General features: G+C 41.4%; 1 protein-coding gene across 1 annotated transcript in view, besides 4 other annotated features; it reads left to right on the top strand.

Moving 5' to 3' along the window:
* Positions 1-25,553, top strand: part of SLX4IP (SLX4 interacting protein) — a 192,726-nt gene that overhangs the window by 62,402 nt on the left and 104,771 nt on the right. The window lies entirely within an intron of this gene.
* Positions 9,498-9,637: an enhancer, noted in NCBI's record as "active region_17545". NCBI's record gives its function as "activates an Ori minimal core promoter by ATAC-STARR-seq in GM12878 lymphoblastoid cells {active_cell/tissue: GM12878}" and the evidence as "EXISTENCE:reporter gene assay evidence [ECO:0000049][PMID:35858748]".
* Positions 13,715-14,194: an enhancer, noted in NCBI's record as "active region_17546". NCBI's record gives its function as "activates an Ori minimal core promoter by ATAC-STARR-seq in GM12878 lymphoblastoid cells {active_cell/tissue: GM12878}" and the evidence as "EXISTENCE:reporter gene assay evidence [ECO:0000049][PMID:35858748]".
* Positions 13,715-14,229: a biological region, named in NCBI's record as "Sharpr-MPRA regulatory region 2397".
* Positions 13,935-14,229: an enhancer, noted in NCBI's record as "tiled region #2397; HepG2 Activating DNase matched - State 5:Enh, and K562 Activating DNase unmatched - State 5:Enh". NCBI's record gives its function as "activates a minimal TATA promoter and a strong SV40 promoter by Sharpr-MPRA in HepG2 and K562 cells {active_cell/tissue: HepG2 | K562}" and the evidence as "EXISTENCE:reporter gene assay evidence [ECO:0000049][PMID:27701403]".

The raw sequence follows: 25,553 nt of genomic DNA on the forward strand, positions 1-25,553 counted from the left end.
GTTCCAGAAATTATTTTTCTGGTTATTGACTTTGTTGGTCACTTTTCTTAATATTAGAATTCTTCATATACTTTGGAATTTTGGTTTGGAGGCTCATTTTGAGTAGGCTGCTGCTTCTTCCTTTAAAAAAATTTTTTTTGGTGTTAATTTTTCCTCTGTTGCCCTTTGTATGCAATCCTTCCACCAATCTTGCTTTTTCTAAAAAATGGCCTCTTCTCACTGAGAACCAGCTTTCTCTTCTCTCTACTCCTTCACCATGGAGTCTAGAGCCAAGTCATAGAGCATATTATCAGTTCCATGACTCACTTTTTTTCATGTTTTAAAATCTTTCAGATTGGGATACATCTATAATTCATGGATATATCATTTTAACTGGCAATATTTTTTCTTAGTGGTACATAGCAATATTCTTCCTTAACAATTATTGGCATCCTAGATTTGATGACATAGGTAATATAATTTCAGATCATCTGTCTTGCAGTGAATTAGATATTGTTAATCTATTAGCTGAGCCAGTGGGCAGCTCTGTTCAGTTCCTGAGGCTGTGTTTGTGTTTTCCTGCCTCCCTGTGTTTACAGCTTCCTATCATGCCAGTGCCCTAGGTCAATCTGTTAGCAGAAGTTTTCCTCTGGCGAGTCCTTCTCCATCCCACCCAGTGTGGCCTCAGGGGTTATCTCTCCCATTACTCTGCAGAATGGAACTTCCCACTGCCCCTGCCAGGTCTGTGGTATCTACCCTGCCTCCTGTGCCCCTGCCAGTTCTGTGGTATCTACCCTGCCTCCTGCTTATTTCAGGTCCATTTCTGTCTCATGAAATGGTTATCTCAGTTTTGAAGTGTCTTAACACTGTAATATTTTGTGGATGGTTTTAAGGAAATTGATCATTGCCATAGGGATGCTTCAAAATAAGCACTTAACTGTATCATCTTGATGGGAGGTTCTTTGGTGCTTGTAGCAATTTCTTTTTTCTTTTCTTTTCTTTTTTTTTTTTTGTGGTGACGGAGTTTACAACTGGTGATTATACCTGACACTCTATTGTAATTGAGTCTATTGTCCCTTATTCTCAAGATTCAGATTTTTAATATCCATATTAAAATTCTTTTTGAAAATCCTCTAATTTTTAAAAATTTCCTGCTTTAGACAAATTTACTTTGTTATCATATCATTCTACCCTGTATAGGGTTAGAACAATAGCGATTCTTATTGGCCTCTTCTAGGTAGGAAAAATAACATAAAGCATTTGGACAATAAATTATCACTGAGGATGATCACAACTAAAATATGTATATTTACATATGCTTTGGATGTTAAAATATCTCTACTCCCTACTTTGTATCTTTACAGCAATCATTATTATCTTAACTATATGTGTGAACAAATTTTTATTTATTTTAAATTTAGTGATCTTATTAACTTCTTTAATGACAAAAATTATGGGTCTAATACAGATTTTCAACTTTAATTCTTTATGTTATATATGGCTTGGACTTTTATAGCTTACTCTCTTTAGTTAAATGACAGACACTTGTCTATCTTTGAACTTTACTTACAATAAGAAATACATTTTACATGATTTGAAGAACCCCAACATACATACACAATATGCATATGCACACAACATGCACGCACACATGCATTTACACAAATAATTGAAACCAAAGTATCACAAAATAATATGTAGCTTTGTAACATGTAATATACCTTGTTTTATTCAATTCTAGACAATTCATTGCATTCAGTTAAACATATTGGTTGTAAATCAGTAAGCTGATTTCAGGATCCAGTAATGGGTTATTGCTTGAAAAACAGTGTCTGTTGTATGAATGATAATTTTCATGAAAATCAATGTGCTTCATCTTCCCATTTGTATTCCTGGCACAGGAAATATTTAAATATATTAGTAGTATTACCTACAGACAAGACAAATTTTTTGATGTCCGTGAAAATGCTGAAAGGTATGACTATACATGAGAACAAGGTCATTATTTACCCTCCTTTCACAGAGGATAGCATAGTATCCATTTGATTGGAGATAAAAGATATTTTTAAAATGTAGTCCTTTAAAAGTCAAAATGATAAAAGTTAAATATTCTAGGTCTGTTATAATCTATAACCTGGGTTTAACTGGATCTAGAAGAGTAAATCTATGTATAGCTAATCATGATAATGACTGCTGTCAAAAATACAAATAAACCCAATAACTGAATTCAAGGAAATGGTACATGTCAAAGTTGGAAAAAGAAAAGCTGTGGTTAAAACATGGTTATTGTACAATTATTAGATGACTTATTTAAGAAACACCTCTTTTGTCAGGAGACCAGAAGATTATGTAGAACCCTGTCCCTTTATTAGACATTGTGGTCTGAGCTCTGGGTTTAGATAGATGGGGAAGACTTTGAATTTATGATGTTATGTGTCAAAATTCTTTTTTTTTTTTTTTTTTTTTTGAGACTGAGTCTCACTCTGTTGCCCAGGCTGGAGTGCAATGGTGCAATCTCAGCTCACTGCAACCTCTGAATTGTTCAAGCAATTCTCTTGCCTCAGCCTCCTGAGTTGCGATTACAGGTGCCCGCCACCACACCCGGCTAATTTTTTGTATTTTTAGTAGAGACGAGGTTTCACCATGTTTGCCAGGCTAGTTTTGGACTCCTGACCTCAAGTGACCCACCCACCTTGGCCTCCGAAAGTGCTTGGATTACAGGCATGAGCCACTGATGTGTTAAAGTTCTATGTGTGGTTCTCTTCATGTGTGGAAAAAGATGGGGCCAGGCATGGTGGCTCATACCTATAGTTCTAGCACTTTGGGAGGCTGAGGCAGGTGGATCCTTTGAGTCCAGGAAATTAAGACCAGCCTGGGCAACATAGCAAAATCCTGTCTCTGCAAAAAAATTAAAAAATTAACCATGCGTGGTGGTGCACACCTGTAGTCCCAGCTACTAGGAAAGCCGAGGTGGGAGGATTCCTTGAGCCCAGGAGGTCGAGGCTGCATGAGCTATGACTGCACCTCTGCACTCTAGCCTGGATGACAGAGCGAGACCCTGTCTCAAAAAATAAATAAAATAAGTAAATAAAAATATGAACATTTGTAAGGGTCTACCATTGCATGCTTTGCCCCTCATGATGTCTCAGGTACTCATTTCAGGATTCTAATTTGCAACCAGTTTTGTTTTATGGATAATGTTCTTGTTGGAAATGCTTCCAAACTCAGGCTGAATGCAGAGTGTGTTACATAAGCACAGATTAAGGCCATGTCTGCAGGGAGATAATGCATTAGAATCCTGTAGAACCAGTGTTTTCATGTGTTCATTTGGTGTAGGCTTCCTTCCCCACTGCCATGGTGATATTTGATGAAACTAGTTGGTGGCTTAGTTACAGGAATTACACCTGAAAATAAATCGCGAAAGTTCCCATATGAAGCACAAGTTTAGCCATATGTACTTACAATGATGATGGCAAAAATAGGTGAAAAACATTGTAGTTATATAATATTACCATATTTAGAAATGCTAGTGATGGTGGAGGGAGTAATAATGACATTATATAATAATGTATGTATAATCAGTGCAGAAAAATTTCCGCTATACTCCAAAAGAAACTAATGCTTTAATTTACATTTGGTTCTTATTTGTTCTCCCCTCCCCCCACAGTCTATCCTTTCAAAAAAAGATGCTAATGAGTAGTAAAGGAACCAGAGCTAAAAAAGGAGCTGTCCTCATCTGTAAATTCACCTTCCCCAAAGAGCTGCAAGTTGACTGTTTGCAGTTGCCAAAAAGCTGGGGCCCAGCAATAAAGTGCTCAGCCCCCACAGCAATCTCCTTCCTTCAGAGGCGGAACTGCTCATGATAAATACTTCTGCCTCCACAGAAGCCTCCTTGTTTTACCTCCTCTCCGCTGTTGCCACCCCACTTGGTTCTCGAGGGCAGCAGGCAGAGTTGCCCAAGACTTATTGTGTGGCCACAAAGAGATGGCAGTCATGCCAGATGGCAGGTTTTCCTTGCTTCTACTTACCCAGACAAACAGACTTAAAGCAGTCTGGTGGTGAAACAAGAATTGTTGTGGCCATGAAGAAAAGTTCGTGTCAAAATGTATTCATTTCCTTTCATTTTCTTCCGAGACGCAGACAACTTTTTAAAAAAAATCTAGTATTTTGTTATAAGACTTTTAAGCAAATGTACTACTTTTATATGCATGTTTTGAATGCCTATGTAAAAATGTAATGGGCACATTGCTTACAGTACTCTGATGAGAGCACACCGTTTGTCTTTAAATAAACCTAGATGTGATCTTTGGTTTGCATTTAGTTTCAATAAGCCAATTATTGGCAGATTTTTCACTGGGTGGGGCCGAAACGGCGGCTTATTCATTTTTTCTTAAGCATAGATACTCAAGGGGGTTAAGTAACTGCACACCACTGGCAAAGATTTGTAATCCTCAGTGCTAGTAAAGGTGAGGCACTTACCCCTTTAAGTGAGGAGAGATGGCTTCCATTTAATTATTGCTCTGTGGCATTTCTGTGTAGGAAGTGGGAGGCACTGCAGATGCTCGGAGGAGTTGGGAGGCCCATGTGTTTCTGCACTACCTGGTCTCTGTGCCCTCGCCTCCCTTCAGCCTGCCCTCTACATAGCAGCAGAGGATCCTGTGAAACACCAGTCAGATCCCATCACTCCTCGGCTCCAATGCTGGGGTATTGATCCAGGCCATCTTATGTAGAGGCAAAGCCCATGCCCTCAGGCCTTCCGATCTGACTCTTCTCTGTGCATGTGCATGCACACTCACATGTCCCCGCTCACAAACCCACTCACTTTCAACCTCACAGGACTTCTTCGAAGATGCCAGCCTCCTTTTCACAGCCTTTGTGTTTACTACTCCTGCTGCCTACAATGCTCTTCCCCCAGATATTTGCAGCGTGTACTCCCTCTCTTTGGGCATCATTTTCTCTTTGAGGCTTTCCTTGACCACCCCATTTACTCTGTTAACTGCCCCCTCCCCAAAATTTTCTGTCTTGTTCTCTGCCTTATTCTTTTTCATCATACTCAAGTCATCATCTAATGGGCTAAATAGTTTCCTTTTTTTTTTTCTTTTTGGTCTGTCTCTATTCTAATGCAAGCTTCATGAAGACAGGGATTTTTACCTGGTTTATTCACTGCTATCCTCCATGCCTAAAATAATGTCTGGCACATAATAGGTGCTCAGTAAATATTTAGAGAATTTGCCAGTAGTATGTTCTAGTAGCCCTTCACAATGGGCATCTGGCTCTTTAGACCTGATGGCTCATGTTATCTTTCTTGCTATTTGACCTTGATATTGGTGACTGTGAGTCTGGTTCCTCCTCTAGTTGTAGTGCCTTGTGCTGCCTTAGACACACCTCCAGCATTGATACAACTGTTGGCCACCTCACTATGGCCTACCCTGCCATCTGTCCTCCCACATTCCCTTATATCAGCAGGGTTCACTCTGGGTATGAATGGGACTCTTCTGTATGCCAAGGTTAAGGTAGGACCCAAGGGTGTATATGATGCAGTCCTTCTGAGTCTTCAGGCCTGCTGTCCGCCAGAGGTCTACAGGGTTAAACTAGCCACTGAGTCTCCCTAACAGCTGGCGGGTGACTGACTGGCAGAGTTTAGTATAGGTGGCCTAGAGGTGTGGCTGGGTTGGATGGACCATTGAAGCAACCTAGAAAGTGTGAGCCAGACATTGCCAGGCACCCTTAAGAAGTAGCCAAATGTGCTGTTTTCTGTGGACCTGCTCTTTGGACCAGCCTGCTGCCACCTTGCCATGGGAGGATTTGATGTGTGTGCCCTATGCTTTTGCAAGCAGCTTTGCTTTCCTCTGAAAGGCATCATCTCTGTTCACAAATGACATGACTTCGTTTCTTAGCTCAAGGCAAAATTTGCTCTTTGAGTTTGTTTCCTAGGGCTGTTGTAACAAACAACCACAAACTGGGTGGCTTTAAACAATAGATATTTATTGTCTCATGGGTCTGGATGCCAGAAGTCTGATATCAAGGTGTTGGCAGGGCCATGCTTTCTCTCTGAGGGCTCTAGGGGAGATCCTTCCTTGCCTCTTCTAGTTTTGGTGTTTGTTGGCAACCCTAGGCCTTCTTGGGTTTGTAAATGCATTGCAATCTTTGCCTCTGTCATTACACAGCTCTTCTCTCTGTGTCTCTGTCTTCTTCTCTTAGAAGAACAACAGTCATATTGGATTAAAGATCTACCCTAATGAGCTCATCTTAACCTGATTACAACTGCAAAGACTATTTCCAAATAAAGTCACATTCACAGGTATTGGGAGTTAGGACTTATCCTAATATCTTTTGGATCTTATGATATCCAGTTCAGCCCACAATTAAACCCACAATGCTCTTCGTGAGAAAGAAGCAGCAGCCATGAAGAAAGCCTAGATATTTTTAAGGGTGGAGAGCGCTCTTGACCTTTCCTTTGACAGCCTTGAGCTTCCCTAAATACTGTTGTCCTCACTGACTGGCTTGTCTTAGGAGTAGGGTTTTTGATCTTCAAACCTTGGAGTGCAGTTCAGTAAAGTGAGACAAGCATACCTTCTGTCTCTGAGGTCCAGGAGCACTGGAAGAGTGGACAGATTAATTGTGAATAGAGAATGCCCTGAAAATACAGGAAGAACCACCCTCCTGCAGATGTAGCTCTGGTCCCTTGTGGGAGCCCCTGGACCTTCGGTGAGGCAGATCTGGAAGGCTACAGCAGGGGATGTAAAGAGCCCCTTCCTAGACCCGCTTCCTGGCCCATTATTCTGCCCTTCCAAATGTATTCCAAGGGCTCCTCATTTTGATCATTGCTCAGTGGCATTGTTGTAGAGGAAGTAGGAGGGTGCTTGGTGGAGTTTGGGAGGCCCATGAATTTCTGCACTTGGAGAAATGTTAATGTTGAGCTTATATTTCTCTCCTTGCAGCACAGAAGACCATTACTAGGTCTGTGTGTAGAAGCCCAAGCAGTTAGAGGGGGCCTCTGCGAGGCTTGTGGGATTTTTCTGGCCAGAAGATGGGCCATGGTGGAGGAAGGCCATGTTAAATGGCTGTGATCCACTGCCTATAGGGAAGAGTACGCAACACACACCCAGGAGGGCTTAGGTAGCCGGAACTGTGGCGGCTCCATACCCCCAAAGTGAATTTTAAACTTGACTTATTTATGCCGTTCTCATAGCAACAGGAAAACTGTTCCGACCTATAGCCACGGAAGACTCTGTAAAAGAAACTGTAGGAGGAAAAAAAGATAATGCCAGGAAAAAAAAAAATTTAATGAAGTACCATTCTTTCACTTATTCAGTCAACTGAGAATAACAGTTTGTGCATTTGGCAATCAAATGGGAAGTGGCATTTCGTGTTGCAACATGAACCTGCTCACATTAAGTGATTTATTTTTTTGTTTAGACACACTGTACTGAGAACTTTCTTCAAGTAGAAAGCTATTAAAAATGTGAGAACAAGCAGTCCTCACTAACCTGAAGCATTTGGGGACTTAGAGGAATGATAAATGCAAACAGCCCAGAATCCAGAAACTGTCTTGAACATTTAAACTCTAGACTCTGGGAATGTGTGCATGTCTTCAGTTAGTCAGATGTAGATAATTTTTCTTTCTGTGAGGTCTCTTTTCACTTATATCTTGTCTGGACAGGGTGGAGCCCCTGCTTAAATTCTATTTCTAGCTTGAAGAAAGACTAAATTATTGTAGACCAAAGCCAGTGCTACTCGGAAAATGGAAAAGACATAGGAGACAGGGCATGTCTTCTTTAGCCCGACTGTGAACTTAGGGCCCCTCCTCTGGTGAGTGCTCCTGGGAGGTTGCACAAGGCTTATGTTCAGCTACTGGGCCAAGCTGAAGGAACGCCTCTCATCTCTCTCATGTTTGTACTGAAGATCCGTGTTTGGTAACCATTTCATAGATCTTTTCTACCACTTGATCCTGGGCTTGTAGTTAATGCTGTGCTCAGCATATTTCTGTGTGATCTTGATAAGAAATCTATTGGCCAAAGACCTTGTGAGCTATTTCTGTCCTCTGTCTCTCTCATCTTCTATTTAATATGTTTGTCTGTATTATATACGTATAAATATAACCGAGTTGTATTACATTAATTCTTTTTTTTTTCAAAAATATATTAAAATTATTCCCCTTTTCTAACCTGCCCATTTATGAGCTCTTGCACGGTAACATCTTGATTCCCATTTTGGCTGAGAAACTACATAAACTAGTTTATTGCATGCTGCTCCATTTTGTATTCATGGTTATGATATTGAAACTTCAGGACCACACACAGATAGCATAGTCTCTGGCCACTTAAGCATGTAAACAGTCTGGCTTTTTATAAAGTGGAAAAATATTTCTTGTGCACTATTTTAACATGATCAGCATGTTGAAACTTGGTGTGCAACTGTGTCAACATTTCTTTGGCTCTGAGGAGCAAACCCGGAGAACCTCATGGTAACATATAAAATGCAAAGCTGGTTTGTTTACTACTGGGATTTAGGCAGCAATTAGAGTCTGTAGTTGACTTCCAAACTTGGGGTACAGAATAAGTGAAATAATTATTTTTGCATCGCGATTATGCTAGCTAAAATAATGATTCCTTTTCAGATGGCTAAGATTCTTTCAGGGAAGCAAAGGAAAATGGGTGGCTGGATTACAATGCAGTTTCTTTATTGAAAAACCCACATTGGACCCAGCTTGACAGTGTTTTCTTTTGTTTCATAAATTTACTGAACACCTCAAATGTGTCAAATCCTTTTCTACATGCTAGGCATGTGAATTTAACAAGACAGACAGGCCTTATGTTGTTTGCTCAAACTCTCTGGCTCTCTTGAAGAGAAACAAACACTAAATAAGTAATCAGGTAAACAAGAAGATGTTTATGATTGCTATGAAATTCAACATGAGATGTTTACCAAGGGCACTGTTGAGACCCTTAGGATGTGTCAGTGAACAAAACAAATGCACATTTTCTTCTCTTAGGGGTCTCACATTCTAGTACAGGAAACAGACCATAAACAATAACTGGAATAAAGACATAAATTGTAGAGCATGTTCATAAGCAGTCAGTACTATCCAACAGGAAAAAGCAGAACCAGGTGAAAGGTATCAGGAGGAGTGAGGCAGCAGGGGGTGTGGGAACGGACAGGCTGCAATTTTATTTTTATTTGTTTATTTTCCCGACTTTATTGGGATATGATTGACAAATAAAAATTGCATATATTTAAGGTGTACAATGTGATGATTTGATGAACTTACACATTGTGAAATGATTACTGCAATCTGGCTAATTAACACCTTCATCACCTCACATTTTGTGTGTGGTGGGGCGGTGAGAACACTTAAATTCTACTCTCTGGGCAAATCTCAAGTGAAGCTGCAATTTTAAATCAGGTGGCTGGGGAAGGCCTGCTTGAGAAGACTTGAAGAGATGAGGGAGTTAGCTCAGATGTGTCTCAGGGACAGTGTTCTAAGCCTATGGGAGGCCAGTGCCTTTGACAAGCAAGGAGGCAAGTGCCTTTTAATGAGGATATGCGATTTGAACTAAAACCCGGAAGATGTGAAGAACCCGTCATGTGTAGAGTTAGGTGGGAGTGCCCCAGGCAGAGGAACAGCAGGGCCAAAGACCAAGACAGGAGAGGAAGAGGCCACTATGACTGCCCCTTTAAAGTGGGGAGATGAGGTGGGAAAGGTGGGAAGAGATTGCTCAGGTAAGGTTGTATAGTCCACGGCAGGGGTTTGGGTTTTACTTTGTGTGAAATGAGTTGTGGAAGAGGAGACACCCTCTTCTGATTGCCCATCTCATAAGAGTTCAGAGAGGAGAGGAAGAATGAACCCAGCATAAACTTACCCTGAGGACCAAAAACCTCATGAGGGTTGGGATTTGATCTGCTGGTTTACCACTGCATCCTAGCAGTGCAACAAATACTAGGCCCAGGAAAGCAGTCAGTATTTGCAGGGATAGACACATGGATGCATGATTTAGTGACATACCTCCTGGGACAGAAGCCTATTATCTTTTATTTTTTGAGATATTTGGAAAATGCAAAGAAAAAAGAAGTCTCAAGAATAATATAACAGCACTTTATGCCAACCACCCAGAATTTACAGCAGTTAACATTTTGGCATGTTTGCTTCCAGCCTTTTTTATTATTTCTCTGTGAATACTTAAAAGGCATACAAGGAGCAGAGGGATACAGTCTCCTTTATATATATATATATACATATATGTATATTTGAGATATATATACACATATGTGTATATTTGATATATATATACACACATTTGTGTGTGTACGTAAACATTAAACTTCTAATTACCATTCTTAGTTGCTTTCCCCATGCTAGAGGCGATCATGCCTAATAATTTATTAGCAGATCCTGTTTCTGGTTTGCATCTGGGGGAAGGGGAGGTAGAGAAGAGAGCCAGCCTTATATGAGAGGACACTTGGCAGGTTGTGGCCCAGTGCTCACCTGGCCGGAGTCAGCCAGTGTGTGTGCCCACAGCCCTGCCCTTGGAGCATCAGCCTACTTGGCGAGCACCTAGTTTGGGCTTAACACAGTGCTAGGCACAATGCCAATGCGGGCAGAGCCTAAGAGAGCCCAGCCCTGAAAATCCTTCTCTTTATAGCATTCCTGTAGCATGATTTGTCCTGGGTCAGTTTGTCCTTGCCCCTGTGATATCTTCAGCAAATGAGCTGCTCAACAGGGGTGACCCTTCCAGATAACTGAGGCTTATTCCTTTATTATATGAAACGCTTTTGATAGAAATGATCCTGAAGTATCTCACAGATTTACATTTCCCTGTCTTCTTAAATGAGGTCTATTAGCCTTTGATGTGGGTTGATCAGGATTGTTCTTTTCAACAACAGTTGCTATATCCATTCATGCTCCCGGGGGCTGCTGGCAACTTGCTCCTACAGTACATGGCCCAGACTGCTTTGCAGAGTATGTTGCTTTAGAAACTCTTCTGCCTGCTTTTGCTAACTTTACTGGTTCTCCTTCTCCGTGGGCTGGCAGCTATCCCTTCTTGCTGTTGTCAGTGAGCCTGCTTCTAACTCTGCTTCAGTTGCATTTCTCACTCTTTATTTATGAGTTCCATCCGCTGGGGCCTGGGAAAGGAGATAGTCAAATTAAGTAAATTCTGGGTACAGCCAAAGACGACTCCCAGTGAGTGGCTCTCCACTGAGGGTTCCCTGCAGACCCTGGGGCCTAACTTGGGGTGTCTGTTAGACATCCCAGCCTGACATTTTGATACTGGCTGGCAGACACATTTGGATTTATGGCCTTCCCAAGAGAATCATGCTGAGGTCAGTGCTGCTATGTGAGGCTCTGTAAGCATTCCTTAGTAGCTCTGTGATGGGTTAATCTCCCTCCTCCCACTCCGAGTCAGGGTGTCACTCCCTTTCCCCTGTGATTCTACCCACAACGTCTGACCTAGTGCCAGGGGCACGGAGTCTCTTTTAACTGCCATGGTAGTTGGCATCAGGTTGTAATTCAGCATTAGGGTACTCTGACTGTGAAATTGTTGTTCCCGGGTCTTTCAATTATTTCTGTTATTCAATTATAAAGATAGTGGGGAACATGGAGATAATCTCATTCCAGCTTATAGTTTTGCAGTTGAAGAAACTAAAGCCCTGAATGGAAAATGACTGAGATCACCGAGTTGATAGTCACCAGCAGAGCACCGTCCCCACTGTGGAACAGTGACCACCATGGGTGAAATTGCTCTGATTTTGGGCTGTAATTTATCTGAACCAGTAAGTTGGACAGCCTTGGCAACACTATAAAGTAGAGGGTCGCTCTCCTGTACCTCATTTCCCAAGTGTGGTAGGATATCGCCTTGATACAGACCAGATTCTCTTCCTGTTAAAGAAAAGTAGTTTGCAGCTGATTCACTATGTGGACGAAGATCCATCCAGAAAGATGTTCATTGCAGCATTGTTTACAGTGGTGAAAAAATGGGGACAGTTGGTCCCGCATTGGGATGATGAATACATTTTTTTTTTTTTTTTAAGCCACAGAGTCTCACTTTCTTGCCCAGGCTGGAATGCAGTGGTGCGATCATAGCTCACTACAAAGCCCTGGCTCAAGCAGTCCTCCCCTTCGGCTTTCCCAGTATCTGGGACTACAGGTGTGTACCACCATGCCTAACTATTTTTTAATTTTAAAAATTTCTTTAGAGGCAGGGCCTTGCTTTGCTGCCCAGGCTGGCCTCAAACTTCTGCCTCGGCCTCCCAAATTGCTGGGATTACAGGTGTGAGCCACTGCACCAGCCTGATGAATAAATTTTGACACAGCAATATAATAGAATATTATGCAGCTATTAACATTCTGTGTACAGAATTTTAAATAACAAGGTCATTGAAAAAGTCACTGGTCATTTTTGAGCCTAATGTTATAATATTAAGTCAAACAGGCAGAATTAAAAGGAAGAATAACAATATAATTTTAAATTTTTAAAATTTCCTTTTTAAAAGAAGAAAATGGTCAAAGCATTTACTAGTCACTCTTCTTGATTGGTGAAGGGAAAGAGGCTGTGTGCCGTCCATGCACTGGATACTACATCTGTCATGTCTGTGACACTGCCATGTGGTTTTTACCCTTGATTTGTATTCAGACTGAACAAATGATCCCCAAGCCCTTAGGGTGCTAAAGAGTGCATGAGCCATACTCCTTGTGGCCACACACACCTTTCATCCTGGATAATGGGCAGCTGGGGCCACAGGCCCATTGTGCAGTCAAGTATCTTGCTTCCTGCTAGTATCAGCGGGGAGCACGGAGCCCTGCTGGTGGAGCCTGTCCAGCTCTACTAAAGATAGAGCAAGCTGCAGTGAAAGAGAGCCTGGCCATGGCCTTAGGTGCCTTGCAAATTATTGTTGTTATTATTATTATTATTATTATTTTTATTATTTTTTTTTTTTTTGAGATGCAGTCTCGCTCTGTCACCAGACTGGACTGCAGTGGCGCAATCTCGGCTCACTGCAACCTCCACCTCCCGGGTTCAAGTGATTGTCCCGCCTCAGCCTCCCAAGTAGCTGGGACTACAGGCGCCCACCACCATGCATGTCTAACTTTTTGTATTTTTAGTAGAGACAGGGTTTCACCATGTTCGCCAGGATGGTCTCGATCTCTCGACCTCATGATCCACCTACCTTGGCCTCCCAAAGTGCTGGGATTACAGGCGTGAGCCATCGCACCCGGCGGTGCCTGGCAAATTATTAATGGGCCCAGGGTGAATGGACGCAGCATGAATTGGGCACACTGTACCTTTGAAGGACCCTGCCAGCCAAAACCACTGGGCCTGTTGTTGGAGACAGGGCCGCTTCCCGGGTGACTTTATCAGAGAACCTGGCTTTGGTGCCGTGTTCTTGTCCCTCCATTTACCTTTTTGGCAAAATGGAACCAAGTTGTGTCCTTATTCTGTTCTGAGTTGATGGTGGTCCTTTAAAACTTAAAAAGTTTGCAATATGTTGTTCTCATAATCTGCTGACACCTATTTACTCTCTGGTGTATCCTACATATTTCCCCGTTCTTAAGATGGGGCTGATGGTGTGCGTTCCCAAAGCTTTCTTCATCATAGTCTCAGATAAAAACACATGGCACTGGCAGTCTTAGTCAGATCCTCACTCTCCTGCAATCCCTTCTGAATCCTCCATGCCATGGGGCTCACACTGCCCTAGGGATACTGTCAGGGATGTTGAACTCCATGAGACTGTCTGTTCACCTGACTCCCAGGCAGACAGTAAGGCGATCAGGCTTTTCCTTAAGTTGAGCTGAAAGCTGAAATCTGCCTCCTTGAAACCTACCTCCAGCTGTTTTAATTTTGCCAGCAGAGTATGTCCAGCTCTTCACCAGTAACAGCAAGCACAAATGACTAATTTAAGAAAAGCAGTACAGCAGCTGGACGTGTTCCATCTTCTTTGATGCTCACCACCTCCCTGTGAGGAAAGTACTCTTACTACCCCAGCTTCGCAGATGACACTTGGAAAACGTAAGGACCCACAGTTAGGTGGCCAGACTGAGAGCAGAGTGCTGAGTCACCACACGGTGCTGACTCACCCTCTTCACGTGACAGCCCTTCCTGTGTGTGGAGACCACAGTGGTTTTCTTCTTCTCTAGTAAATAGTTGAGTTCCTTTGACCATTCCATGTGTAATAATGTTCATTAAGTATGAAACTAAAATTTATTGAAATTTAACATGAAATTGTTGCATAGTAAAAACTCATGCCTATCATAAGAGAAGTAATTTGGTATTTTTTTCTTGTCAGATAATAGCATACAAATGTGAGATTATGGGATTGGAAAGCAATGTCTCTGAGTTACTTGAGTCTAGAACAGGGGTTGGCAAAATTTTTCTGTAAATAGCCAAATAATACATCCTTTAGACTTTGTGAGTGATAGAGTTTCTGTTGCATTAACTCATCTCTGCCATTATTGCACAAAAGCAGACATAGGCAATATGTAAACAAGTGAGCATGGCTGTGTTCTAGTAAAATGTTATTTGCAAAAACAGGCAACAGCTGGGTTTTGACCTTGGCTTATAATTTTCACTTAATGGGGTTTTTCTTGATAATGAGAAAGAATTTACAAGTGGGTGCTAAGTAGGAGAATCCTAGATGTTTTGTTATAATTATTAATAGCACCCCTTTTTAGTTTCAAAAATGTCTTGGTCAATAAATTAACGTATTGTCATCCTGGTATTATGTCACTTTAAGTATTTTTTTTTAAAGAGATGGGTTTTGCTCTGTCAACCAGGCTGGAGTTCAGTGGTACAATCATACCTCTTCTGGGCTCAAATGATCTCCTGCCTCAGCCTTCCAAGTAGCTAGGACTACAGCTGTGCCCCACCATCCCTGTCTAATTTTATATATATATAGGTGTGTGTATATATACATTATATATATATAAAATATATATAGTATTATATATTATATATAGTATATATAGTATTTTTTATATATAGTATATATATTGTGTATATATATTTTATATATAGTATATATAGTGTATATATATTTTATATATAGTATATGTATTGTGTATATATATTTTATGTATATATATACACACACACACTCTATATATATATATATATATATATATATATATATATATATATATAGTTGTTGTTGTTATTGCCTAGGCTGGTCTTGAACTCCTGGCTTCAAGCACTTCTCCCTCCTGCCTTAGCTTCCCAAAGTGGTAGAATTTCAGGTGTGAGTCACCACACCCAGCCACTTTAAATTTCTTAATGAGACTAAGGTGAAATAGAAACTTTGGTTTATGTCCTTACCATGGTCAGTCATTTTTTGTTACAACAGAACTTTTCTGCATCAGGTGACTTTTCCATAGATTTCTATCCTGTCCTAGTCCAGGAAGAGGTCCTGGCAGTGAAGGAAAACTCAAGGAGGGAAAACGAAGACCTCCTAGAGGAGCATCCCTAGCTTACTTTTTGGGAGTAGTGCCTGTGTGCTGGACACTGTACCAAAGGCTTTATATATGGCCTATCTTAGGAAACAGCTGCTAACCCCAGGAGTTAAGTATGATTATTATTTCAGTTTTACTGACGAGGAAACTGAAGCACAGAAGCTTAGGAAATTTGCCTAGGGTCACAGAGCTGGAAATTTGGTTTGGATTCAGGCCTACACTGTCTGGCTCCAGAACCCAAGCTGGGAGATTGAACAGGTGTGAAATAATTAAATCTAATAAATCAGTCAAATCAAAGCAGGAGAAGATTGGGATGAGGTTAAGAGGTGGAAGACATACCTCTCATCCTATCCATCTTAGGTACAAACATCATGGAAGTCGGGGGTATTAGCTGCACCTTTTCATTACAAAATCCTTAGGCCTGCTGGTTAAGAGAAATCTCAGGGCACTGGAGAGACTTGAGGGCAGAAGATGCCAGGTGGGCAAGGGCATCCTTGGATTTAGGAAGAGTAGGAGGCTGCCTTTTGCATTAGAGCTGCCTCTGGCATTCCCAGGGTTTTGTCTGGCTGGGCCCAAGGGCTAGAAGGACTGGAGGAGTCCTAGCTGTGCCTATCACTGGCCATTGCCCCTCTGCAGCAGAGTAGTCAGTATGCAGCACAGCATCTGCCTGGCACTTAAGATGTGCATCTCTGTGGGACACCTGTGGCTTCTAGCGAGGACAGTGGAGGGAGAGTGGCCCACACTAGTCTCTGGACTCTTATACTTTAGGCCCCCTACTTCTAGCTCAGTGATTTAAGGAGAACACCAAGTTGTACATAATTTTCAAAGGGAGGGGAGTTGCCTTCTTTAGATAAACCTATGCCAAAAGGAAATCTTTAAAAATAATTCCCATCAGCTCTTATTATTTCTGGGTGGTATTTTTTTGTACATTTTCCAAAGCAGTGACCCTAACCACAATGAGGACAGTCATTTGGAGCTTTTGCAAGCTACTCATTCAAAGAAAAGTGCAAAGAAGGGTGCCTCTAGGTTTGGTTACAAAACTCTACCGGGGAGTGGGAGGTGAGAGTGGGAAACCGGTGAATATGCCTCCTGGCCCCAACTTTTTAAAATGTATCCTTTGAGGTGTATTCTATTTGGTGCATTTTCCCAGATTTTGAATGTTGCCCCAGGACAACTGTCTTAAGTTCGTTTTGGCATCAGGACAAATGAGAGGATGTTTCCTGTTTGCCTGACTCTTGCCCCAACTTCTTTCTCTGTTCTGTTAAGCTCTTGGCTAAATTCTTTCCTCTTGTATTCCACATTTTAACTGACATTAGGGCACCAAGTGCAAAAATCTGCAAACAGTTAGCTTTCCTGTTTGAGCATTCTGGTCAGATTATGCTGAAGTTAAAGTTCTTGTAGCACGGAAGGATCACCCTCTGTACAATGCATTAAGTATTTAATAACTGTACTAATAATTACAAACACTTTTAATGGGCCACTTGGGAGCCTTAATGTGGTTAAAAAATGTATTTCTTCTCTGTCAAGTTAACTTGTGTCAAATTGAGAGAAATTCTTCTAAGCAGCTTTGAAAGGTTTGAGCTTCATAAGCCTAGGAGCAAGTAGCATATTGTGAAAGTAGTTTTTATGTAAGAAGAGACAACAGAAATAGGGTGAGTATTAATGTAGTGCTTTGTACATTTCCTTTATAGTTTTGTATTTTTTAGGTGGAGAAGTGTCCCACCACCCTGTTGCATCCGCTGTATGTCAGGTTAAGCAATTTTTAGTAGGATTGGCAGCAAAACCAACTTTGGAACACAGGACTCTCTGGCTTCAAGATCTCTTCTTTGGGAATGTGGACAATTTGGATTTGGCCATTTTTGAAGTATTTTAGAAAATAGGACACTCTTGAGGGGCAGAATTGAAGGTCGATGCGTCTTTTGTTAAATTCACATTTATTTGTAAGTTGAAGCTTTTTTTTTTTTTTTTTTTTTTGAGACGGAGTCTTACTCTTGTCACCCAGGCTTGAATGCAGTGGTGCAATCTCGACTCACTGCAGCCTCCACCTCTTGAGTTCAACCTGTTCTCCTGCCTCAGCCTCCCAAGTCGCTGGGATTACAGGCAGCTGCCACCATGCCCAGCTAATTTTTATATTTTTAGTAGCGACGGGGTTTCACCATGTTGGCCAGGCTGTTCTCGAACTCCTGATCTCAGATGATCTGCCAACTTCAGCCTCCCAAAGTGCTGGGATTACAGGCATGAGCCACCGTGCCAGACCTAGCTGAAGCATGTTTTTGAGAAATTATTTTCTGGTGAAACAGGTGTGCCTTTGAAGTGATATAGTTGCTTTCCAAAGCTCAGAAAGAAAGTATTAAAACAAGGATAAAGTCCTATAATGTAATTACCAGTTTTACTTTGTTTTGGCTTATTTAAAAGTGTTGGCTCCTTACTCCAAATGAGATCCAGTCAAAACACTTACAATTATAGTGTGCATACATTAAGGACTTAAGAAACTGTTATTTCTCAGGTATTTGGAAGGAAATGATGTCTTCTGGATGAAATTCATGGCATAAGCATAGCTCATTTAGTTCACTAGCCTGAATATTCTATCTGAATGGTAACTTTTTTAAATTTAAAAACTTTGCTTTTAGGTGTATTTGTATGGTTGGTATCAGATGATTATTTCTTTCTGAAAGCTGATATTTTAAGAGAGATAAAGTCTTTACACCTGATTTTGCTGTGTGAGAACAGCTCTCTCACATGTTACTTGAGGTTTTTTTGTTGTTGTGGTTGTTGTTTTGAGACTTGGTCTTGCTCTGTTACCTGGGTTGGAGTACACTGGCGTGATCATAGCTCACTGTAGCCTCTGCCTCCAGGGCTCAAGTGATCCTCCCACCTCAGCCTCTCGAGAAGCTGAGAATACAGGCATGTGCTACCACACCTGGCTAATTTTTGTGTTTTTGTAGAGACGGGGTTTCACCATGCTGTCTGGACTGGTTTCTAATTTCTGAGCTCAAGGGAGCTGCCTACCTCGGCCTCCCAAAATGCTGGGACTACAGGTGTGAGCCTCCATGCCTGGCCTCGTGAGGCTATTTTTATCTGCACCTTAGTATCTGGGATAGTGGTGCCTTCCTAGGCATGGGTAGGTACACACATACACAAAATGTCAATGCTAGCAAGTTTTTATTCTTTGAGGAAAGGTTTAGTTTTTTTAGCTCAGAGAAAGTAAGTTTAGTTTTTCAACTCAGAGAAAATCACCTTATTAATCTTCAACAGATTAATGTTGATTAATGTTATTGAGCAAAGCTGAGGTATGATTCTAAGGTAATGAGGTTTGTCTTCTACTGAGGCTTATAAACTGAATCTTAGGCTGTTACAGAAAAGAAATTGCTGTGGGTTGGCAGCACTGAGGAATGAGCATTCTGCCTTCTAAGACGTATGCTTGTTTGTAAGTGTCTGTTCTGAGATGTTTTGTAACAAATCAGATTCATTGCTTTATAGCCCTTCTTCATTAAGATGGGTCTAACACGGAAAACCTCAGAAGCTCACCCCATCAAAGACAGCTGTGATAGAAATATCAAGTAATAATAAGTTTGCTGCTGTGATTTTTTTCAGAAGGAATTTGCTGGCATCAGCAAAGAAAATTTCAAAGTGGGTTAGGTTGTCTCCATTGGCTTTTATTCATCTTTCCCTTTCACAGAATGAAAAAATGTCTGGGCTGTTATAGCTTTGTTCTAAAGTGGCCCATAATTTTGTCTATGTTTTACATCCCAGTGGATTCCTAAGTCCAAATATGGTATTGCTTCTCAGAGAGGTCTCCTTTTCTTTCCCTTCAATCTATACAATATTTAGTAGATTTATTTTGAGATCAAGATTATCTTTTAGGTCAACCTGCAACTTAAAACCTGCTGGACTAATGTATTTGAATGAGCATGGGAGGAACTATGTATGAACATTCTGATCATTTTACATTGTCAAGCCCTTGCATATAAGAAAGCATTCCTAAGAATTTAAGAAATTGTTCTAAACTGATCATTTCTCTGAACCCCATCTCTTACTGGTTCTTTGTTTCCATAGGTACCATACCAGAAAGACTGTCATCAAACCCTCACAGGGTCAATGTCAATATCACACTTGTTTTATAACACTGTCAGAAACCAGGGGTACTGCTCTGCCCCTCAGTCTGGCTTGACAAGGTGAAAATTCAGGGACAGATGAGAGGAGGGACCAGATTGAAGACAAAGAATGGACATAGGCCAGAACGTGATGTAGGGTGGGGATAAACAGAGTGTTCTAACAGAAGTGATGTGTCAGAATCTTCCCACTTATTAGAAACGAAAAATGTCAACATTTATTAAAAGAAATGAAAATCTGAAGCATTGGTTTTAGGGAGACGGACATATGTTATGAGTTAGAAGGTCAGGCTCTGGAGACAAATGAGCAGCCCAAGTTGCACTCCTAGCTCCTTGTCCGTAGGCCGCTTGCTAACATCTCAGTAGCTACATTTCTCATCAGTAAATTGGAACAGGGGCTAATTGTCCTGCTGCATAGGGTTGATGTGAGGAATAAGTGAGGAGAGCATCTTGGGTATTTAGGAAGCCCTCCATCTGTGCTGATGATGGGGCCACCCTCCCTGGAGGTGTGGAGAAGCGACCTGGGCTGGTGCTCAGCAGCTTTGTCAGCTTATCATCCCTGCATTCCCCAGCAAGTCTTCTAACTTCTCTAGGCCTTCATTAGTTTCAGCCTTTGTCAAATAAGGGATTTGCTATATACAAGTTCCTTCCAGAAGGAAAATTTTATGTTTTTAAGGTGAAATTTTATTTCTCCCAAAAAGCAAACCGAGAATAAATAGTAGTTTACAAATTAAGAGTTCTGTTTATAATACACACTGGGGCCTACTGGGAGTGGGGAGGGGCAGGGGGAGGGAGAGCCTCAGGTAGAATAGCTAATGGAGGCTGGGCCTAACACCTAGGTGTTGGGTTGATCTATGCAGCAAACCACCGTGGCACACGCTTACCTACGTAACAAACCTGCACATCCTGCACATGTACCCCAGAACTTAAAAGTTGAAGGAAAAAAAGAGTTCTGTTTAGAAAAGTTAATGTTCTGTTAGGAAGATATACTTGCTAACTTTAAGAACACATTGATTAAACGGACATTGTTGCTTTCCTGCTGGAAACTGAGTCTTGACGCTCTGGATGACCATTCTCCACCCAGCACTAGAGACCAGTCTTTTCTTTCTTTCTCTCTTTCTTTCTTTCTCTCTCTCTTTCTTTCCTTCTTCCTTTCTTTCTTTCTTTCCTTCCTTCCTTCCTTCCCTCCCTCCCTCCTTCTTCCTTCCTTCCTTCCTTCCTTCCTTTCCTTTCTTTTCCTTTCCTTTCCTTTTCCTTCCTTCCTTCCTTCCTTCCTTCCTTCCTTCCTTCCTTCCTTCCTTCCTTCCTTCCTTTCCTTCTTTCTTTCTTTTCTTTCTTTCTTTTTTTCTTTTTTTAGACAGGGTCTCACTCTATCACCCAGGCTGCTGCAGCGCTGCGATCTCAGCTCACTGCGACCTCCAGGGCTCAAGTGATCCTGCCACCTCAGCCTCCTGTGTAGCTGGGACCATGGGTGGGAGTCACCACATCTGGCTAATATTTTTGTATTTTTTGTAGAGACGGGGTTTGGCTATGTAACTCAGGCTAGTCTCGAACTCCTGAGTTCAAGTGATACACCCACTTTGGCCTCCCAAAGTGCTGGGATTACAGGTGTGAGCTACCATTCCTGACCTAGGGGCTTTTCTAAGGAAGGCAGAAAATGTTTGCCTAACACAGGTGAGTAATGCTGGCCACAGAAAGGTAGTCATGAGTTTGATATTCTTTCCTGCCTGGTGTTCTGAAAGTAACATTGTTATAAATTAATTGTAAAATTATTGCATTGGAGATGCTTTATGAAAAATGTGCTTTATTGAGGTGTGATTTACATATAATAAAATACACCCATGTAAATGTACAGTTGAATGTTTTTCTTTTCACTGTCATAGTCTTTGCAAAAGTTGGATACGTTTTGACAAATATTTACATCTGTGTAATCATTGCCTTATCGACTTTTAAAAACAGCTTTATGGAGGCATAATTCATATACCATAAGATTCCTCCATGTTAAGTATATAATTCAGTAGTTTTTAGTATCTTCACAGAGTTGTGCAGCCATTACTGTGATCTAATTTTATACCATTTCATCACCCCCCCAAAAAGAAACCCCATACTCGTCAGCAGTCATTCTCCTCATCTCTGTGCCCACTCCTACCCCTTGGCAACTGTTTATTTACTTTTTGTCTTTATAAAAAATTGCTTGTTATGGACATATCATATAAATGGAGTTATACAACACGTGGTGTTTTGTGACTGGCTTCTTTCACTTAGCAAAATGTTTTCAAGGTTCAACCATGTTGTAGTATGTGTCAGTACTTTATTTCTTTCTATGATTGAATAATATTCCATTGTGTGGATACATCACCTTTTGCTTATCCATTTATCAGTTGAGGGACATTTGGATTGTTTCTACTTTTGGACTGTTATGACTAATGTTGCTATGCATGTTTGTGTAAAAGTTTTTGTATATTCTTACATGCTTTCATTTATCTTGGGTATATACCTGGAAGTGGAATTGCTAAGTCGTATGGTGACTCTGTGTTTAACTTTTTGGGGAACTGCCAAACTGTTTTCAAAGTGACTATACCATTTTACATTCCTACCAGCCACGTATGATGGTTCCACATCCTGGCCAACACTTGCTATCGTCTGTCTTCTTGTTTACAGCTATCCTAGTGGTATGAAGTTGTGTCTCAGTTGTGGTTTTAATTTGCATTTCCTTGATGGCTAATGATATTGAGCATCTTTTCATGTGCTTATTGACTATTTATTTTCTAGAGAAATGTCTATTGAAATCTTGTGCCCATTTTTCTTTTTTCTTTTCTTTTTTTTATTTTTGAGATAGAGTCTCACCGTTGGCCAGGCTGGAGTGCAGTGGTGCATCTCAGCTCACTGCTACCTCCGCCTCTTGGGTTCAAGCGATTCTCCTGCCTCAGCCTCCTGAGTAGCTGGGACTACAGGCGCCCGCCACCATGCCCGGCTAATTTTTTGTATTTTTAGTAGAGATGGGGTTTCACCGTGTTAGCCAGGATGGTCTTGATCTCCTGACCTCGTGATCCGCCCGCCTCAGCCTCCCAAAGTACTGGGATTTCAGGCGTGAGCCACTGCGCCCGGCCCTTGTGCCCATTTTTCAATTGGGTTATTTATCTTTTTATTGTTGAATTGTAAGTGTTCATTATATATTCTGATCAGGTATATGATTTGAAAGCATTTTCTCCCATTCTGTGAATTGTCTCTTTACTTTCTTGCTGGTGTGCTTTGAAGCACAAGTGTTTTTAATTTGATAAGCCCAATTTATCTAGTTTTTTTCTTTTTGTCACTTGTTTTTGTATCATATCTAGGAAATCATTGCCTTACCAAGATTATGAAAGTTCACACTTATGTTTTCTTCTAAGAGTTTTAGAGTTTTCATTCTTAAATTTAGGTCTGTGATTCATTTTGAGTTAATTTCTGTGTATGGTTTGAAGAATGAGCCCAGCTTTAATTCTTTTGCATGTGGTTATTCAGTTGTCCCAACACCATCTGTATGAACATATGTTTTCTTTTCTTTCCCCTTAAAATTCTTTCTCCCTTTAATTGTTGGAATCACATTATAGACTTTGAAACAAAAATAATAGTTCCCTCTTCCACTCCTCTCTATCCTCTGTTCCCACTCCCCAGAAGTGAGCACTCTATAGACTCTTTTGGCTGTTTCTTCTGGTTTTCACCTTCATACTTATAAATAGCATCCTTATATGGCAGTTCTGGAGGATTATTTAAAACAGTATATTTAATTTTGACACATTTTTATAGAAATTCCTATTGTGTTTTCATTATTATGATGATATATTATTATGACAGTATTTACTGCAGAGCCAGGCAGTGTACTCTGATTACCTTTCGTTTCTCTTTAATTCCCACACCTCTTTTGTTTTCATTTGCTTGCTCTCTTCAGCAGCCTTGCTGATCTGTCTTACTCTCCCGCAGCTCTTAAAAGTGCCTGCCAGTCCACTTCTCTCCATGGCAGATCATCTTTCTCTTCTGTCTTTTCTCATTGTGTGTCTGTGTTTTTGTTCTGTGAGTCATCCTTCCTGGACTCCTCTCTCTTGTTCCATTCATTCTAGGCTGGTCGCTCTCCATGACTGCTGTCTTCCTGAGGCTTCATATTGCTCTTCTTTTAGGAGCTCCCATCACCTCTCTTCTCTCTACGTGGGTTCCTGTGCCTCCTAGCTTAGTGTGGATTTTTCTGTAGGAGATCCTTTACATACAGTCAAGGAACCTGATGCCCAGGCTAGTGAGGTCCCTTAGCTAATATCCTTGAGCTAATTAGTATTTTCTTTTCCTGCTCAAGGCTACTGAAAATGAATTAAATTCAATTAAAATGCTGAGTCAAAAGCAGCTGTCTTACTCTGAGTGGCAATATTATTCATGAGGACTAAAATGCTAGGAACCAAGTCACCAGGAAACCAAGAAGGCCAGAAGTGGTGCTACATCCCCAAATATGCCCATGGAGGCCCCAGCTCCTTCCTCACCACATCTCTCTTCCTTCAGAGGCTGCTTCTCTTTTACATACAATTCTAAAGTGCTTGGCTTTTTGGCTTTCTAAGGCACAACGGATAATCTGAAAGTGTTTAAATTTAGGAGCAGAGGGAGTGCAGAGATGGGCACACTGTGAGCCATAAGAAGTGCCAGTTAGCTAAGGGGACAGGTGGGGAAATGACTTTTAAAAAATCAATCCATAATTAGTAGAGATCTGAAGTATGTGTCATTTAATTTGATTACAGAAGGCCCTACATTAGTCAGCATCACATAGAGACATCACTTTATTATGGCACTCTAAAGTGACTGGCCTCTCTTCCTCACTCCCTTTCACCCCCCTTCAAGAGATTTGAAGAGATTTGCATGTGTTGTGACATGCAAGCATTAGAGATAATTATTAGTAAGATATAACTGGAAAATGTCTGTTTTGATCTTCTGCTCTCAATAGAAAATGCACGTTGTGTTGCAGTTAATGCAATGACATTATTAGTTTTCTCTTAATGTTGCCTTTTTTGGGGGGATCTTAGCTCTTTTTGTAAAGACTTATTAAAGCCCTCCTAACACTCTCAGTGACAGAAATCAGTGTTTTCAATCCTCTTCCCCTCTGCCTTTTTAAAGCTATGCAACGTTTTCTTAAAGTACAATGATACGCGGAAAAAGTATACAAACCCGTAGGGTGGAGGTGCTCTGTTGGTGAGAGCTGGCTGACCCTTTTTCCTTCCTGCCAAGCAGCCCAGCAGGGAGCAAAGAGAAGCATTTAGGAGGGAAGGAGACACATGGCTCCCGGTCTCCTGGGCCTGCGGGTACCAGTGACAGTGCATGCAACTAAAACCTGGATTTTGTTGACCTGTTGCATTCTTAGCCAAGTGCCTTACCCTCATTAAAATGCCCTTCCGTCACTCAGTCCTGGGGAGGGAGGTCATCTCATGCGCTTACATATCAGCCCAGCTGGCTGCTACTGGTCCTGTTTCTCACAGAGAACCCTCCTTGTTCTTCCCCGCCATTGAATCTGTTCATCCATCGATGCCACAAGAGCCCAGCTGCAGAAACCATAGAGACCATCTCTCCTACCCCATGGCACAGCCTGTTGCTGAGGAAGGGGGTCCCACCACAGGGTTGCTTGGGCCTTCTGTGAATAAGAATTTGGTAGGACAGAAAGCATATCACATCCACCTCACTGGGTGCACAACCCTCTTCCCTACTGTGTTAAGTTCTCTCTAAGCCCTGATCATCCTGCAGTTTCTCCTTGCCATTTAGCCTCTAAGTCTCCCGGCCCACTATTCTTCCCTGCCTTTGCTTGACCTGCCTGCATGCATATGTGAATCCTAAGTGCAAACAGAGATCAAATTGTTCCTCTGTAGCAGACCTCTTGGCATGGGATGGGCCAGTGGGTAAGTTTATAGAGCAGGTGGGGACTATCTCTCTGGCCAGAAGGATCTCAAGCTGGTTTCCACCTGAAAGGGATGCTATACCACGAGATACTGTGACAGTCAGAGAGACAGGCTTAT

The sequence above is a fragment of the Homo sapiens genome, chromosome 20, assembly GCF_000001405.40.
Source record: "Homo sapiens chromosome 20, GRCh38.p14 Primary Assembly".
In the NCBI taxonomy this organism is placed as follows: domain Eukaryota; kingdom Metazoa; phylum Chordata; class Mammalia; order Primates; family Hominidae; genus Homo; species Homo sapiens.